This window comes from Homo sapiens, chromosome 8 (assembly GCF_000001405.40).
Source record: "Homo sapiens chromosome 8, GRCh38.p14 Primary Assembly".
Classification (NCBI taxonomy): domain Eukaryota; kingdom Metazoa; phylum Chordata; class Mammalia; order Primates; family Hominidae; genus Homo; species Homo sapiens.
The window spans coordinates 23,789,208-23,808,578 of record NC_000008.11 but is presented as its reverse complement, the minus strand read 5'-3'; the positions used below and the strand labels follow the sequence as shown (position 1 = coordinate 23,808,578).

Genomic DNA, 19,371 nt, shown 5'->3' with positions numbered 1-19,371 from the left:
ACCACTGTACATATATACTAGAACTGAACAAGTAAATAAACGGATCTCAAATGGTGGGAGCCAGATTCTCACTGTTGAAGTTGGAGGTCTCAATTAAACAAGGGGAGGAGGCTAGACTGATCCATCTGGCAATGGATTCCAGTTGGAGCTGTCAGTATGAAGTTATGTTTGGATTTCTATAGACAAGGCAGCTATATTCAGATCTATTTATAGATATATGTTTATAATGAGTTACTAAACACACATAAATTTTCTTGCTTTACAAGGCTCAAAAGCCTTGAAAAAATGAACCCCAGAAACAATGAACACGCTTAGCACCCAGACCTTTCTCTGGACAACCACTTCCTACCTGCCCCTGGCCCTCCATTTCTTCCTCCTAAAGTGTACCTTGGTGATCATCTATTTCAATTCTTTAAGTTCTCAGATAATGAAGATAGGGGCGCAAAAAGACGGCATTAGTTTTCCAAAGTCACAGAGCCAATTGATAATAGGGCCAGCAATGGAACTCCCCGATATTATTGCAATGACTTTTACTTACAGGGTAATTCGCATACTGTGGGGTGCATGTTTATTGTATTTTGTATAACAAAACAAACAAAAAAAAAAGGACCATTTGGGACAAGCTCCTTCCTTTAAATATTCTCCAACACCTTTCTTAGGACTAGGAGTGCTGGAGATAAATTTGCCCTAGTTCTTTTTTGGATTCACTTTAATAAAAACTGCTCATCTTCTCAACCTCACAAGATTTTCTTTGACAGGTGTTGCATCTTCTTATGAGCATAAGTGTCCTTCCAAAAGAAGAGTTAAATGGATTAGAGTTTGTTAACATTAAGCTTTTTAAAAACGAGCAAACAGAACAGAGGACATTTTGACTTGGCCCAAAATCAAAGAAACTGATGGACTGATGCGCTTATCTACTTTTTTTTTAAGTTTCATTATGTAACAAGGGAAAAATCATCTCAAATTTTCCTGGCCCTCACCCTTCCTGCTTCTCTTTGCTTTCTTTATAGTTAAGCAAAGCCACTCAAAAAATTGGCTCTTAAAAATGTCTTTAGAAAAAGCGCCCGGTTGTAAGGTAGGTAACGTGCTTTCCTTTCTGCTTACTCTGGAGCTTTGCAGACATTAAAACTCAAATTTCTTACACACTGGCACCGTCTTAATTATTCCCCCTTTGTTTTGTTTGATTGGAAGTAATTACAATAATTCGCAATTACCCATTAAATCACCCTTTTTCCAGTAGCAGTACTGTCCTCTCTGTTCCACATGTTCCTAATGTAACTTGAGAATAATGTTTTTTTTTCCAAGGTCTTGCATCAATCGGGGCCCTACTTTAACCCATCTAATTTCTTACTTTCCTCCAGCATACCTTCCCATTCACCTGAGCTAAAATTTCTTCCTTTCTAACCCCACCCCTCTCCCACCCTCAGTCTCATCTCTCTGTCTCATAAACACACATGCACACATACACAGGTACACGTGTGTACCTTTGTACAAACATGCATACACACACATGCACACATACACAGGTACACATATGTACCTTTATACCTTGCTGACAATTGCATTCCCAGCTCAGAGGCTTCCAACTCTTTGTCTATGCAAACTCTACTCATCTTCCAAGCCTTGCAAAGTTACCTTGTTTCCAAAAACGTTCCCTAATTTGCAAGATACTCTGCTAGGCACAGTTAAAGAATAAAGATTAATTCTACATAGCCTCTATCCTCAAGGAGCTGGTAATGCTCACTGGTTCCTTCTCAAAGATACTAGGACGTTTCATCTCACCACAAGCACTTGATTATATAAAGAACATCTTGCTATTTTCTATCTCAACCATGGATTGTTAGAACATAAATCGTACATTATTCTCCATGATCTTTGCTTTGCTATTCCAATTTAGAGGAGGAGTGGGTGACAGGGGAAGGAAGACGTGAACACAGGGAAGGGCTCAGATAATAATTTCAGTAGCCTTCAATTCTGGGCCTAGACCCAAGAGAATAACCAGGACTCTAAGTCACCTAGGGAAAGAATATACATCAAGGCCCATGTACCATATGTTTAAATATTTAAAAGTATAGATCAAGCTAATAAATAAAATATGCTCTCTCCCTCCCATCTTGATGAATATTCCCTCACAACAACAAAATTGAAAAGCATGTATAAAGCTAGGGTTTTAAATGACTAAAAGTCAAAAAATATCAACAATCCAAGGGGATTCCCTCTCCAAGGGAACATGCAGTGCCCCTCTCAGGAAAGTAACAACCTGGAATAGAATCTGGCATGCCTAAGGTCTTTGAGGAATAGAGGAATAGAGGATGCTTGTTTCCTCTGCCTTCCTTGGCTGCCTACATGGACACCTAAGTCTCTTCCCCTCAGGATAGATTGTCCTCTCATGCATATGCTGAAGAGTCGTCTTTCTTGACATAGGCCAGAGGCACTGAGGTGCAGCAGGTTTCTTTAGTCATCAACTATGACCTTCCCACCAATAGGGAAAAGTATATCCACAGAATCAGTCGAGTTGGACAGTTTGGCCTTAAGGGTGTGGCTATTAACATGGTGACAGAAGAAAACAAGAGAACACTTCAAGACATTGAGACTTTCTACAACACCTCCACTGGGAAGATGCCCCTCAATGCTGCTGACCTCATCTGAGGGGCTGTCCTGCTACCTAGCCCCAGCCAGGGTTCAATCTTGGGAGGTTGAGGAGCAGCAGGAGAGGGGAAGGAAGGGAGACAAGAAGTGGACATCTTGTCTCTTTTTTTTCTTTGAATAAATGTCATTTTTTGAGGCAAAAGAAATATATATATATATATATATATATATATATATGAACAATGACTAAACATAATTATCATTGTCTTTTTCTAATGTTCTGTTTCTGGGCTAGTAGTAGTGTATAGATCAGTAATAAAAGCAAACATCGTTCATAATTACTACTCGTTTATTCCATGAGCTTTATTTTCCCTGCCTTCATTTCAGCAAAATCACTGTTATCATTGAGATTTTCATGTTTCATATTCCATTGATAGTAATGAGATTTTAAAATATATTTGTATCAAAGTTTACAAAATTTCAATATATTTTCAACAAATAGTGAATTTCAAAAAATAAAAAGTTTATTTTTATAATATGTTTCAGAAAGGTATTTTTTCCAAAGCACACAAAGTAATGCATTAAAATTAAAAGACAAAAAAAGTAATTTAAAATATCAAAGTTTAAATCAAAATTATTTAAGTAAAGCTGAATTTTATTTAATTATTTTTACTTAGTTATATCTTACTATGTACTTTATAAAAATAAATTTATTCCCAATTCAATGTCCATCTACTTGCCAATGAAGAATTAGTATCACATTTCACAATGTTACATCTGGATCCACACATATACAAATCGAAGAGCATTTTTGTTTAAAATTGAAAATGTTCTTCAGCTGTTAGAAGCAACTGTAGCAAATATTATGTCAATCCGTGAATAACTCTGAAACCACAATTAAAACCTGAAGAGAAACCAGAAATGGATACCAGGTGCTACTGGAAAATTATACTTCATTATGCAAGAATCTATTGCATTCATGCTATCTGAGAAAATGATTTAACAAATTAATTTCAAATGTTTTACATTTACATAAGTGCTGCCACCTCTTACATCCTCACCACTCATCTAACCAGTGTCCTCTCATGTCTTTAGTGACACCACCCACAAACCTTCTCAGCATTTAAAAACAATTCTTTTCAGTTTTGAGACAAGACATAAGGCAAGAGTGGTGAAGAATTATTTCCCTGGAGTGATGAGAACTAATGTTTAAATTATATCTCACGCCCAGCACTGAGCACTAACTATCAAAGGACAGAGGCACTCATGTGCTGTTTAACAATATTTTTATGTATTTTTATTTTTTATTTTTATTTTTTTGAGACAGCGTCATGCTCTGTTGCCCAGGTTGGAGTGCCGTGGTACGATCTCAGCTCACTGCAACCTCTGTCTCCCAGGTCAAATCCATTCTCCTGCCTCAGCCTCCTGAGTAGCTGGGATTACAGGTGTGAGCCACCACATCTGGCTACTTATTGTATTTTTAGTAGAGATGGGTTTTCGCCATATTGGCCAGGCTGGTCTTGAACTCCTGACCTCAGGTGATCCACCCACCTCAGCCTCCCAAAGTGCTGGGATTACAGGCATGAGCCACAGTGCCAGGCCAACAATTTTTGGTTTGTGTGCCGTGTCCAGGACTAATAGCAATAGTTTAGGTCTGATAGCCTCCAAAAATTAAGAAATGAAAGAAGTCCATGAAAAAGAACACGATAGGACACTAAAGGGAAACATTCAGAATGTCAGAAAGAGTTCTTAATACAAAATGGTGACTATAGTTGATAACAATGTATTGTATTCTTGAAAATTGCTAAGAGAATAGATTTCAAGTGTTCTCACCAAAAAGTTATGTATATATATGAAGTAATTCATATGTTAGCTCAATGTAACCATTCCACAATGTATATATATTTTAAAACAGGTTGTACACAACTTATATGATTTTTATCAATTTAAAAAATAAACTATAAACAATATTTTGTTACCAAAAAAAAGAGTTCTTGAAAATTAAAAATACAACAGCAAAAATTTAAATCCAACAAAAGTGTTTGAAAATAATGTTGAGGAAATATCCCAGGAAGTAGAAAAAAGAGAGAAAGAAAGTTTGTGAGGTAAGTAAGGAAACTAGAGGATCAATCCAGGATATATAGCAGCCAACTAATAGGAGTTCTAGAAAAGAAAAAGAGGGAAAATAAAGAGTAACAATGCTATTATAATTTCAGTACTACCTTCAAAGAACTGAAAAATATGAGTTTCCAGATTGGACGAGCTCACTGAAAAAACAGTGCAATCGATGAAAAAATATTCTGTATAATGGTCCATCGTGTGGCATTTGTAAATACCAGGGGCAAAGATGAAAGCCTAAAATTATGTGAATGGTGGAAAAAAGAAAGTGTTCATTTACAAAAGATATATCACTGTCATTAAAACTCCTATTAGCAAAACTGGTAGAAAACAATGTAGCAATATCATCAAAATGTGAGAGGATATTGATGCCAATCTAGAATTCCGTACCCAGCCAAACTATCAGTCAAGTACATGGGTGAAATAAGGACATTTCAGAGTTTCAATATGCCCCCAAAATTGTCTTCCCAGCTACGTTTTCCAGGAAGCTACTTGTTGACCCATTCATTCCTCCTCAGTGAAAAGTTAAGCCGGAAGAAGAAGGACAGGGAAACCAGGTAACAAGGCTCCTACACAGAAAGGTAAAGGCATTCACAGGATGAGAGTGAAGAGAAGTCCCAGGATAGCAGCTCTAGTTAGACACATCTAGAAGTCTCTCTAGATTTCTTTTTAGAGAGAAATCAGCTTGACTAGAACAGATGCAGGAGGCTTCTGGACTAGGTAGTCATGAAGAAAATAAAAGTAATAGAATACCTGACAGGTTGCAAACATACTCAGACAAGATTTTCTGGTCTATTCCAGGGGAAAGTTTGAGAGATTTCACAACGGATGCAAAGAAAATTTTGCAAATAAAGAAGTGGCAATAATTAATTCCAAGAAAAATATCAAAAGTTATTTTTCAAAAAGAAAAAATGTTGTCCTAGCATACTTTGTAAGTTCAACTGTGAATATTAATTACATAGTAATAATATAAACATTGAGAAATGACTTAACCAAAAATTTTGAAAAAAAAAAACATACTGGAAGAATGCGAGAACAGTCAGAAGAATAACATGAGTGTGTGTGTAGAGGCACTATATCACTGAAAAAATAAGAAATGGTAGTATAATAATGGTCTATGGGGGAAAAAACAAGAGAGTTAAAAATATTACCATGGGAATTGGGAATGAAAGGAAATTTGGCACAGAACTACTGTTTCTTAGTTACCTACCTAGTATTATTTATTGACTTGTTAAACTATGTACCTGTTTTACTTTGATAAAATTCAATTTAAAAATCAGTTGCATGGGAGGGAGTATGGAATGAGACTGTTTGTGAGAAATCATGAAGCAATTCCAGAACAATGAGAGTGTGCATTGGCCAGGGACAAAGAGTAAAATTGTTTCTCTGCATTAAAAAGTTTATTTTAGAGTCAAGGTCGTGATTTTAAAGTGCAACTAGCCAGTGTAATTATATCTTTTCCTCCGACTGCATTTCTCCAAGCACAGATACAGGCGCCAAGCAAAAAGTTGGATTTAATCAAGGTTGCAGTTTGTCAAAGTGAATATATGAAGTGAGAAAATGGAAAGTGAGTCAAAGACATATGCAAGGGTTATAACAATTGAACATGGAATTTAAGATAGGTGAAGAAGGAATCAAGATAGCAAGGGAATCATGATAGCAAGGGGATGAAAGGCAGAGAAAATATGGTAGGACCAATGGATTGAAAGTCTGATGGAATAGAAAGGTCATTGGTGTTGGACTACTAGAGGGAGGGAGGTAGAAGAGTAGAGGCGTTGGTCAAAGAAAGGGAGGCATGAGATGGAGATTAAGGAGATGTAATTATTGGTGATGACAAAGTTGCAAATGTAACTAGGGGTGGAGGACAAAGAAACAAGAAGAGCTTAAGAAAGTGAGGAGACAGGACTTACTTTGGGTAACATGACAACAAGCAATAAGGAAGCTGTTGGGGGGGCAATTATCGACATCCATAATGTAGAATGCCATTTTCACATTTCATATCTATGACTTTTATCTTCCTGAGTTTATAAATTCAGGATGGGAATAGCTGTTTTACCACATCTGTAGTAAATCCTGTACACATCTGAGGGGTAGGGGTGAGATATACTTACAAATCCTTGCAGAGGATGACTTCAGTTCAGAGGTTCTTTGGTGGTTCTTAATGACCTACATAATAAGGTACTGAACAGCTGTCTTTCATTTCAGAGGACATTTATGAAGTTCTACTCTATGTCTACTCCATCCTTTACCCAAAATGGCTCAAGCCCACCTATGCAGACTCACTGTGAATACATGAAAGCCACATGCCACATCCTGTCTTCATTATTCACTCAGACTCACCCTGGTTCCTTCACTCCTCTTCCTTGGGTCACCAATCTTTTGATTCTATCCTTGTTGCCCTAATTATTATTTCAAGCTTCCCATTCTAGGTCAGCATCTTGTAATTCTTCAGTGTATTTCAGCCAATTGTCTTGTTTTTGAACATGCACTGGGGCCAACCCGTATTTGGGATCATCCTCCATTTCAAATAATACATTCTCTCTGTTCATCCGAGTTCTTTGTGAGGGCCAGGCCACTCTGCACATGGGCCATAGTGAGGGTGAGTGTGCACCCTGTTCCAGACACTTGTTTCCTCTTTGAATTCTCACCAAACAAGGCAGAAGTATCAGCAAAAATAAACCAAAAAATAGTATATGCAGTTTCACTGCACCTCTTCTTCTGGGGCTGAAGATAAATAATCCAAAGTTCTTGTCCCCCAGGATATGTATTCATGCTTCATGTCTTTGGCTCCAAATACGGTCCATTGTTTTTCATCAAACAACGCATACTACATATCTAGTATGTGCCTGGAACCAGGCTCTAGAGGGGTAGACTTACAAAAATGAACAGGCTTCCATTTAGCTTTCCATCAATCCTTTGGACACTTAAAGACTATACACGAGTTTTAGTACAACTTTCCCTTGCTTTGGGAATTGGAGGCTTTGTCTACTAAAACAAGGAATAGTTTTTTGCTCCATATCCTGATTTGATTGAAGTTATGAAAAATCCAATCCTATCAAAACTTTACTGCCAATTATCTCAACATCCTGCTACAATTTTATAATTATCCAAGGAATTTATACAGCCAAAAAATAAAGTTTGAGGAATTATTTTTATACCGAATTTACAATTTTGCTAATGGTTGTTCCAAGGGTATTTTAAATTATTTTTCCCAAAGAATCTGCATTTAACTAATTAATATGCTCTTTTAAAATAGTTCCTTGATTTTTAACTTTTTACATGTTTATATTATTTTCCTAGCTAGGGCTCATGCCTGTAATCCCAGTATTTTGGAAAGCCAAGGTGGGAGGATCACTTGAGCCCAGGAGATCAAGACCAGCTTGAGCAATATAGGAAGACTCCATCTCTACAGAAATAAAAAATAAAATTCAAATTTAAGAAATCAGCATCTTATATTTTCCTCATTTTGGACACAGCTCCAAACATCTTGCTGGTTATATAGTATGCCCTTAATACACGGGTGGGAGTTTTGTTTGCTTGGCTGGTTTTTGTACTGGTTTTGTAGCAATACACTCAAGAAAGGTATAAAGAACATATTTTTTTAAGCTTTATGCAATCTCAATGTTAGTGCCTCCATTTAAAAATCAGTCTTGGCTGAGCAAGGTTGCTTATGCCTATAATCCCAGCATTTTGGGAGGCTGAAGTGGGAGGATCACTTGAGCCCAGGAGTTTGAGACTAGCTTGGGCAATAAAGGGAAAACCCATCTCTAGAAAAATATAAATAATTTTTTAAATATAACTGTCTCTAATAACCACACTATAGTTATGTAAGAAAGTATCCTTAGAAAATACACATTGAAGTATTTAGGAGTTAAAAGGCACAATGTCTCCAATTTACTCTCGAAGGGAATGTATGTGTATATATAGAGAGAGACAGAACAAGAGACAGATAACAGAGCGAGAGACAAACAGAGAAATGGTGAGACAGAGAAATGGTGAAGTGAAAATTGGAGTAGCCAAAAACATAGAGACAGAAAGTAGAATGGTGGGTTGCCAGGGGCTGAGGCAAGGTGGAAACACAGTGTTATCACGTCATAGGTATAGAGTTGCAGCTTTGCAAAATGAAAAGAGTTATCAGATGGAGTGATGGATGGTGATGATGGCTGCATAACATTATGAATATAATTACTACTACTGAACTGCATACTTAAAAATGATTAAGATGTTAAATTTTATGTTATGTGTATTTTACCATAATTTTTAAGTTGGGGGAAAAGACAGCAAATGGGGGAAATTGTCAACAGGTGATGAATCTGATAAAGAAGGGTACATAAAAGTTCTCTGGACTATCGTTGAAAATTTGCTGGAATTTTAAAATTACAGAAAAATAACAAGTGACCCAAATAAGTCAATATCTAGAAAAAAGTATACCCTAGAGTGAAAAATTCTATCTTCCATGCACTAGAAAGCAGGAGGAAAAAGAGGTTTTGAGTGCTGAGTTTCAGATGATGGATGAGGTGATGAACTATCAATTGTTTCAGTAGAGAGAGAGCCCTGATGTTAAATGAATTTTCACTTTTGCTAGGCTTGGTTTGGCTCTTAGACAACTCAGCCGTCAGACTTTAAGGAGCTTTGGGAAAATCCCAGCACACATGTTTGAGCACCGTCTAGGACTGCTTCTGAAAGCCCTGCCCTGAGACAGGTCCACCCTTGAGACACTGTCCAATGAGAAAGGAAGTCAGTGGAACAATGAGTTATAATTACAAGGGAGATGAGATGGCTGAGAGGCTGGGAAACAGCTGACATCTCTCTGCTTCTGAAAGCAATTCAAGGTGAGCTCCTAATGCTACACTGGCTCCTGAAACCACAAACTATGCCTTCTCTCCCCCAGTAAGTCATCACCAAATGCCAAAATGCATGGACTCGTGTGCTTCAGCTCCTGTATATTGTTAGGAATTTACAATTTAGAAGCCAGCATCTGGCACAGTCGGCAAAGTATTCTAATTTCCCAGCTCCCCCTTGCTGCAACCTGGTCCTCCCGAGTCCTTCTGCAGTGATCTGTGAAGCCCAGGATGGGCTTCCCATGTTCAGGTTTACTATAAACTGGCAAAGAATTAAGTCAAGAAGACTCAGGCAATGAAGAGATGCACGGGAATGCTGAGGCCTGACCACAATTGAAACTGTCTGAGTCAAAAGTCAAGAAGTCATTCACATGCCAAGGGCCATTTCCTCCACCTCGCCCCCACCCCGCTATGCTGGAAGTCAATTCTCCACAGTGCGTGGTGAGTCAGGCATGAGCACTTTGATTACGGCTCAGCTGATGTCATTCAAGAAAGCAGGGGGGGTCACCCACTGCATCAGAGGAACAGACATTTGACTGAGACAGATCCACCCTCGAGCCCTCTGGGGAGCCTGACATTTCCAGGACATGGAAAACAAACTTCCTCTCAGGAGGGAATATGCTTTCAGTGTGGGAAAAAAATAAAAAATTTTTAAAAAGAGAGAGGGAGAGAACTGGAGAGGGTCAATACATGCTCACCTCTGGCTGAAAGCCCACAATCAGGGAAATTACTGTCCTTTCCGAAAAGGTGAAAGCATCACAATGTCCTCTGGTTCACAGGCAGATCCAAGGAACTGCACGTACACAGAGAAAACCTCAGTCTTGACCCAACAGAGCCTACTGGGTCTAGCAACCATGTAACTCCCTTTCAATTCAGCTCATACATTTAAGTATTTATTGAGAGGCCACCTTGTATTTGGTGTCAAAGCTATTCTTTGTGGTGGGAAGTTGGAATTCAGATCCAACAGGGCCAACACATAAGCTTCTGTTGTTGCTGCTGTTGTAACTTACCTTGAGTTCTTATGTTCTGACACTCCCTTTGCATGGATTATCCTATTTAAATCTCAACAATTTTGCCAAGTAGATAGTATTATTTTCTCTATTTTATAAACTAGGGAACTGAGACACCAAAATACTAAGTAATTGATTGAAGATCGTGCAGAAAATGAGTGGAAGGGCAAGGGTTTGAGCCCAGCCTAGACCAGCAGTGTTCAATTGAACTTTCTGCAATGATTGCAATGTTCTATATCTGCCCTGTGCAATAAATAGGGTAGCTACTAGCCCTATGTGGTTAATGAGCCTTGAGATGTGATCGCTGCAACTGGAAAACTAGATTTTAAATTTTTATTCAATCTTATTTAACTTAAATTTAAGTTGTACTTGTTGCTAGTGGCTACCCCATTGGACAGGGCAGATTTAGACTGACTCCAAACCAAGGTACTTAACCATGTGCTAAATGGCAGATGACAGTAGGGAGAACCACACCCTCACCATCTTTTAGCTGATAGAAAACCAAATTACAATAGACATCCACGCCATTCTTGAAGAGGAAGAGAGTCGTCATGAGGCTGTAGGGAGTGGACGAGAGAAGGCCATGACCTGCAGTTGCCAGAAAAGGGAACATAGGCTGACTGGGGCTCTCCTCCAGGCACTGATGGCATATGTCTTTAGACATGCTGAAAGCATGTGGCTCACATCCCTAGCTATCTCCCTTTTCCCCCATCTACCCACAAAAGCCTCTATACAACTGTGACGCTGCTCCTGTAGTGCAGTCTGCAGGCCCTGAGTGCACGGAACCCCAGGGCATTCCACCCTCTTATGGGCACTGTGCCCAACACCAAGGAGGATGCACGGGAAAGATGTGTCCCTGGCCACCTGCTTGGGAGGAAGTAGCTCACATCCCAGAAGACCAAGACTTACCAGCCTGAACTCACTGAGTCACAACAAGAGTCAGTGTGTGAGTCAGTATAGGATGGGTTTCAAGGGAGAGACAAAAAAAGGATAACAAATTTGGGCTGGATGAATAGGTAGGGACAGTGTCGTACAGGAAGAAAGATTTGAGCTGGGCTGCAAAGAATGGATGAATTTGGAAGGTCCAAGAGGTGGGAAGGAAAGTGCCAGCCGACAAGAGTGGTCTTGTGGCTTATGTTTGCAAGGTGGGACAGTTGTCAGCTTTCTGGCTAGCCCTGTCTCACTCCAATGTTGGGAGCTCTGTTAAAAATGTCCTTGTTCTCAAAGTGCTAGAAGAGATCTGAGAGAATTTTTTTTTTTTTTAAAGATAGAGTCTCACTCTGTTGCCCAGGCTGGAGTTCACTGAAACCTCCACCCCCAGGGTCAAGTGATCCTCCTGCCTCCCAAGTAACCCGGACTACAGGCAAGCACCACCAAGCCTAGCTAATTTTTATTATTTTTAGTAAAGACGGGGTTTCACCACATTGGCCAAGCTGGTCTCAAACTCTTGACCTCAAGTGATCGGCCCGCTTTGGCCTCTCAAAGTGCTGGGATTACATGCGTGAGCCACTGCACCCAGCCCTGGGAGATTATTTAAGCTGGCAGGAATTTCATCCAATATAGAGATTTCAGAGACCACCCCATAGGGATTCCATGAGGTGTGGACCAGGAGTCCATTCTGTTTTGTTTTGTTAGCCAGTGAATGGGGTGATTCTGCTGCTTCTGAAGCTCTCGTGGGTATACAGATCTCAACCACTCCCTTTTCTAAGCCAGGACCTGCTCAACTGTCAGAGGTCAAGGAGAATTTACCCCATTTCAGAGCTGTCCAGGAAGAATGACCCAGACTCTCCTGGGAAGTGGTTCTGAGAATTAGTAAGCTTAGCTCAAGATACAAGTCCTGGCGGGCTAAGGGAAGAACTGTCTGCCAAAACCCAGCAGTAACTTCAAGTGGCTATATTGGAATTAAAGATTTCTTTGCAGGGAATTTATTTTTTTGAGGCAGAGTCTTGTTCTGTTGCCCAAACTGGAGTGCAGTGGTACAATCTTGGCTTACTGCAACATTCACTTCCCAGGTTAAAGCAACTCTCATGCCTCAGCCTCCGAAATAGTGGGAACTACAGGCACGCACCACCACACCCAGCTAATTTTTGTATTTTTAGTAGAGATGGAGTTTCACCATGTTGGCCAGGCTGGTCTTGAACTTCTGACCTCAGGTGATCCACTCGCCTTGGCCTCTCAACATGCTGGGATTACAGGCATGAGCCACCATGCCCAACCTTCTTGGCAGGGAACTGAAAATAGTTTCTCCAAGCCTTCCATTTTGCAGTAGAGGAAGCTGAGGCTTAGAGAAGAGAAGTGACATGTTCAACTTCAGACATCTATGGGGCCATACGCAGGAGGTAAAAACAGGTGCCAGAATTTGAGGCCGGGATCCTTTGACTCAGCGCCACCTGGACAGAACAGGTCTGTCCCCACTGCATTGACTCCTGAGTGCCATCCAAAACAAAAGACAAAACCCTTCTCTTGGCCTCCTTCATGCCTATTTTCATTAAGCTATTTGACTTGACAGCAGTTCTGTATTAAAAAGCAGGCACGTATCTTTCAAGGGCTGTGGCCTTTGTTGTACTATCTCAGTATTTTCCAAAAGCACGAGGAGATCCCGGGGAAGATAAACCTCTGCCAATAAGGTAAATGTTTGCATTGATTATGGGGAAAAAATATGAAGTCCCTCAGTGTTTGCTGCCCCTATGGGAAGAAAGTGGTGGCAAGCCTTGTTTTTACTCTGAATTTCCTCCTAGGTAGTGTAGGTCCTTTTTGTTTTTTGGTCTCCCAGCCAAGTCAACACATTTTCCTTCCTCTCTTAAGGAATTCCTACTCCGGATGGCAAATTTCACCCACTCAGCTCTGGGGTTCCCATGTGTCCGACTCAGAAGGAGACAGGGGGCAAAGGTAGCACTTCCCTTTCCTTTTCCATCAGCATAGGCTTGTGCATGATGAAAGTGCCCAGCACTTTCAGAGGCCAAGGAAAAGGCAGGCCCAAAACAACAGCATGCATGATAATGAGCCTTTCCTTTCTCCTGGGAGGTGTCGTGTGATATTCCCCTAGTAGCATCTCTAGTCCCTTCTGGGTTCCCTCCTTGCAACCACTTTACAGGGTGGAAAGAAACATGGAGCACTGGAATATTTTTACGGGGGAAGAGAGGGTCTTGCTATGTTGCCCGGGCTGTTCTCAACTTCTGGGCTCAAGTGATCCTCTTCCTGCCTCACCCTCCCATGTAGCTGGGATTACAGGCTTGAGCCACCATGCCTAGCTCAGATTTATCTTCTAACAATTTCTTTTAAAACGTCATTTTAAAGATTCTTTTTATCTAGTTTAAAAAAAAAGTCCCAGGAAGAAACTGAAACAGGAAGACTCCTGCTAAGTTCATCTCATAAACAGGTTGTTTTTTATCTGATGAAAATGCTCAGGTTGTGAATATTTCTGACAACGAACTGGTTCACACAACAGAGGATACTGCTGGGAAATGTGAGGAGGAATTAGCCTGTGTGTGTCATTAGTCACAATGGGCCTTTCCTATTTAAAAAAAAAAACAACAACAACAAAAAAAACCCACCCCACATTGAAGAGGTTCAGAAAACGAATTGCTCATTTTTGAGCTGCGTTTCAGGTTGGGATAGAACTTAGAAACAAAGGAACATGCTCTGCCAGTCACAAACTCCATTCCAGAAATTAAGGCCCAGGGCAATTCTGATATTTTGATTTTTTTTCTTTCCTTTTCAGTATGTAGAAAATGACTAAAGTCAAAAGTAAAGATTCCTAAGAGTCATTCTGACCGGCATGTGGGGCCAGGGACAGTGCTGGAAGATAGAGGACAGGCGGTTCCAGATGACCTGCGAGATACACTGAAGCCCTGCATTCCTGCCCCCACCTCTCCAGACCAACGCCAGCCTCACAGTAGTAGAGTAGTTGATGTGTTTCAATAAATAAATATTTCTCTAGGCATTTAGTAAAGCCAGGGCATGTGATCCATTTATTTGGAAACAGAATTTTATGTAGTGTTTTATTATTTTTCCCTTGTAAGACTTTTTTTTCCCAAAGAAGAGTACTCATTAATTTCAACCATGGCCCTTAGGTATGTTGAAATCTTCTACTTATATTGGCTACCAGAGAACCTAAGTTCAAATACCAATCTTTTACGAAGAACAAATATTTGTCAGTACTAAAATTGAATGTGTTCCTCTGTGAGACACACTCCAACACCATCCTAGAGACTCCAGGAACTTGGGTGAAGCTGTCACATAAAGAAGTTGGAACTTGGGGCTCTCTGATACAACCCACAACTGTGGTGCTCAGAGGGTCCATGTTTTCCATGGCTGTAAACTGGGATTTATCTTCCATGGGTATGCATCCAGCTGCTGGGGTACTGCATTATAATACATGACAAGTACCTTGAAGATAGAATTTAAGTCAATTCATTCCTAAAGCATCTGAAAAATCTGGCCAATGCCTTTTTCAGGGTGTGTATCTTCAGTAAATAATATGAGCTTATATATATTGAAAGCTTACTTTGCACTAGGTACTGCGATAAGAGCTTTCCATGTGCTGGCCATGTTCAGTGGTTCATGTCTGTAATATCAGAACTTTGGGAGGCTAAGGCAGGTGGATCACTTGAGGTCAGGAGTTTGAGACCAGCCTGGCCAACATGGTGAAACCCTGTCTCCAGTACAAAAACAAAAATTAGCTGGGTGTGGTGGCACACGCCTGTAGTCCCAGCTACTCAGGAGGCTGAGACAGGAGAAACGCTTGAACCTGGGAGGCAGAGGTTGTGGTGAGCCGAGATCATACCACTACACTCCAGTCTGGGTGACAGAGTGAGACTGTCTCAAAAAAAAAAAAAAAAAAAAAACCTTTGGATTATTAACTTTTCTGTTTCTCTCAAATCTCACACACCCTACCCATTATGAGATAATGTTCACACTATATCAGAAATATATCCAGGGTCCTGCCTCCTCTAACCCCCCACTGCTATGGGTTTGATGGGAGCCACCATAAATTCTCACTTGGATGATTGAAATAGCTCCCTAATTGCTTTTCTTACTTCCACCCTTGCAAAATCCCTTTGAGAAAAATATTCAGTTGGGCATGGTGGCTCATGCCTGTAATCCCAGCTACTTGGGAGGTGAAGGTGGGAAGACTGCTTGAGCCAAGGAGTTCAAGACCAACCTGGGCAACATAGCGACACCCCATCTCAAAAAAAAAAAAGAAAAGAAAAGAAAAAATTCAATCATGTTCCTTGCAGTAGGTTGAAACACTTCCCTCTCTCCCAGATATCCACATCCTAATCCCTGGAACCTGTGAATATGTTGCTTATATGGCAAAAGAGACTTTGCAGATGGGGAGTGTATATAAGTATACCCACAAGGGCCCATATAAGAGGCAAGCAGTAGACAGATGCTGAGAGAGAGGACAGCTTCATGACGAGAGCAGAGAGAGGCTTGAAGATACCTCACAGCTGGGTTTAAGATGGAGGAAGGGGACCCGGCGTGGTGGCTCATGCCTGTAATCCCAGCACTTTGGGAGGCCTAAGTGGGTGGATCACCTGAGGTCAGGAGTTCAAGACCAGCCTGGCCAACATGGTGAAACCCCGTCTCTACTAAAAATACCAAAATTAGCCAGGCATAGTAGCAGGCACCTGTAATCCCATCTACTCAGGAATCTGAGGCAGGAGAATCGCTTGAACCCAGGAAGAGGAGGTTGCAGTGAGCCGAGATCATGCCACTCCACTCCAGCCTGGGTGACAGAGTGAGACTGTCTCAAAAAAAAAAAAAAAAAAAGAGCTTTCCATGTGTTATCCTCTCAGATCCTCCCAACAAGTCAATGATAGAGTCATCATTGTTATTCCCATTATATAGATGAGGAACTGAGGCACAATAAGTAAAGTCAATCGCTCAAAATCATACAGCTAATAAGTGGTGGATGTGAGATACACATCTTAGTATCCAGACGCCCAAGCTTTAGAAAGCAAAGTCTCAAAACTATAACGCTATCCTGCCCCCCATTCAATAAAAGATATCAATCCTTGAGTGAGACATTGTTCTACCTTCAGAGTCAGCTCTTCTGAGATGGTTTTGCAAAGTTAGTTTTTGTATAGATCTGCATAAAGTTAGGTTATGCTACAGTAATAAAAATACCTCAAAATCTCAATGGCCCAACACAACACAGGTTAACTTCTTATTCACTTCCGCTGGGACGTCATTATCCAGGTCTAGTCACGCAGCCCCAACCTGACTACTAAGGAATACTGGGGGACACCCGGAAGGTTTGGTGAGCAGTGACTATGCGCCACCACCTGGAAAGTTCTTCTCAAGTCTCCAAGGACTTAGTGGCAACAGCATTGCTCTGAAGGATGAGGTTCCAGTCCCAGGTCTTCCACAGACCCACATGTGGCTTGAGCAAATGACTCCTTTTCTGAGCTGCAGTTTCTTCATCTCTTAAATGATGTGATTACACTACTGTCCTTCAAGGTCACTCCAGCATATTTTTGAATTTACAAATGAATGTCCCTTACAAAAGACATGTGCCAAGGCTACGCTGGCACCCTCCAGAGGATGTGGAAACATGTCTTGATGTGAGGCAAGGCTGTTCTGTGGCACAAGTCAAGCTCACCGTTTTGCTTGGATGGCGGGCTTGGGGAGGCTGTTTGCCAACCTAACAGAATGGGGTCAGCGGTTCATGGCAACTCCCAGGCCTCTGGAGATGTTGGGAGCTTTTTTTGTTGGTTTTTACACCTAATAAAAAGCAATTTCCTCTTTTCAAAAGACACATTTTTTTTCTGTTTTGAAAGATTAGTGGTTTGTAGTGGGAGGGTTGTTTGGCTTTGTTTTTTAAATTAAAAGGACATGATCTTTTAAGGCTAAAGATATGAGTAACAGAAAGGACAGATAGGTCAACCCAGGTCACTCTGCAAGACAAGAGCAGAGCAAAGAGGAAATCCCACTGCCCTGGATGGGCCTCACTCTAAGGCAGGAAATCATTCTGGGATAAAAATGATTGCCAAATGGTCCGTGGTGAACAAGTGTAACGGGTCCCAAACATGGATTTTATATCCCTTTGAACACACCTAGAAAAGAGGACTCAGCAAAGTAGATTTTGGCTCCAACCTAGCTCTGAAAAGATGCCCATTGAGACACAACCCTGAACCAACCCAGGAGCGAGCTCCTTGCTGGCACCTTCTGGGAGCGGAGCAATTTTACCTTTTCTGGAAGTGAGATTAAGGGCAGGTAAGTGAACAGTCACACATGAGCCAGCTTTCCCTTCTTCAAAAACAGCCTCGGCTGTCTCTAGACTAGAACGTGAAAAGCTCACACACCACGGCGTGTTCACACTAAGTTCCACCACCATTCCATCACACTAGCCCTGAAAAAAACATCTGCACACCCATGAGGCCAGCCTGCAAAGGGAAAAGAGAAATAGCAGCAGTGCCAACCCCTTCCCTGGCAACACGAATAATTCCCAGGTGTGTCTAAAGACCACGCTGCTTAATCCACTTCCTCCTCTTTTACCCTGAGGACCTGCTTGCCCATCCAGCAGAACATACTTCTCAGAGGTTTGCGGGACTAGCCAAGCTGACCCTGTGATATCCTTGGGGCTCTGACAATATCCCAAAAGTTTCATGATATCTGAGGAGCTAATGCTCCCCTTTTCCCCAATGCACCCCTCATATTGCCATAAGGAAAAAAACCCTTACCCTACACCACTGGTGGTGACTTGATTTGAAAATACTTCCTCAAACATCCAGTTTGATGTTTATGACAAACTTCAGGGAACAAAGATTCTCATTTCCACTGTAAGATAAGGAAAGTGCAGCTCGTAAGGCTTTGAGTGGCTTGCCGGGCTTCCCCGGCATTCACAGGTACAGAGTGAGTGTCACAGCTAGAACTTGGACTTGGATGTTCTAGTTCCATATCCAAGCTCCTCTACCATTTGCCTGACATTCACACGGGTTCTTGGTTGAGTGTTACCAACATGATGTTCCCCTGCTGAGAGCATCAGGACCCCAATATATCTAAGTTGGCCCACAAGTTCCATAAACAGAAGCCGGTATTTCTTATTTCAGGGAGAGGACTGCCAGGAAATGATTATGAAAGTAAAGGAAACTGAAGTCAGAACAATCTTGACCCCAGGTCACAAATAGCCCTCGCACAGGAGGACATTCTGGCTGCTCCGTGACTCAACCTGCGTGGGAGGCCCCTCTAATATCCAACTCATCTCCCAGATTGTTCAGGTTACCAGGGGCCGTCTGCCTGGGAGAAATTCAAGCTCCTGGTCAGTGGTCAGAGGCCTCGGGCCTCTTGTGGTCAACGGTCTCTTTTCCCAGGTCTCCATGCAACCATGACCCCAGGAAACATCAGATGACAGGACAGCACATGTGATAACTGCCCAAGAAGCCCCTCCAGGCCTTGGAGCTCAAAGTCCATGAGACACCCCAAGATCTCCACTCCGCGACAAAGGCCCACTGACCTCAATAGGAAATCGGCACAGGGCTAGGACGCAGCGTACAGACACCCACTTCAACTGCTTTTGCATAGAAGGAAAGATCCACTTGAGGAAAAACAGGCAGTTCCACTGACGGCAGTTAATCATCAGGACTCTGGTTATCTGGAAAACACACAGAAAGTTACAAAGCAAGCTAGAGCGGAAGGACATGAAGAATCTTATTCTTGCCTGAAGCTTTTAATGCTCACAAGTGCACAGAGTCACTATCACATCGGATCCCACAACACCCCCCTCCCCCCGGGGAGTGCAGAAATAATTATCCCCATTTGAGGAATAATTATCCCCAAGGAAATAAGTTCCATAAAGATAAATTTGC

At 41.4% G+C, this 19,371-nt stretch overlaps 1 long non-coding RNA gene and 1 pseudogene across 1 annotated transcript in view, besides 1 other annotated feature; one reads left to right on the top strand and one right to left on the bottom strand.

Annotated features, from left to right (window-relative positions):
- The first annotated feature begins 2,201 nt into the window (after positions 1-2,201).
- On the top strand, positions 2,202-2,350 carry LOC124900262 (uncharacterized; annotated as a pseudogene).
- A 3,286-nt stretch (positions 2,351-5,636) lies between these two features.
- Positions 5,637-19,371, bottom strand: part of LOC107986930 (uncharacterized) — a 139,865-nt gene continuing 126,130 nt past the window's right edge. The window contains exon 5 of the long non-coding RNA XR_001745842.2: positions 5,637-19,157. This is a non-coding gene — a long non-coding RNA (uncharacterized LOC107986930). The remainder of the gene's footprint in view (positions 19,158-19,371) is intronic.
- Positions 9,268-10,467: an enhancer, noted in NCBI's record as "CDK7 strongly-dependent group 2 enhancer chr8:23655625-23656824 (GRCh37/hg19 assembly coordinates)". NCBI's record gives its function as "activates an origin of replication core promoter dependent on BRD2, BRD4, P300/CBP, MED14 and CDK7 cofactors, with strong dependence on CDK7, by STARR-seq in HCT116 cells {active_cell/tissue: HCT116}" and the evidence as "EXISTENCE:reporter gene assay evidence [ECO:0000049][PMID:35650434]".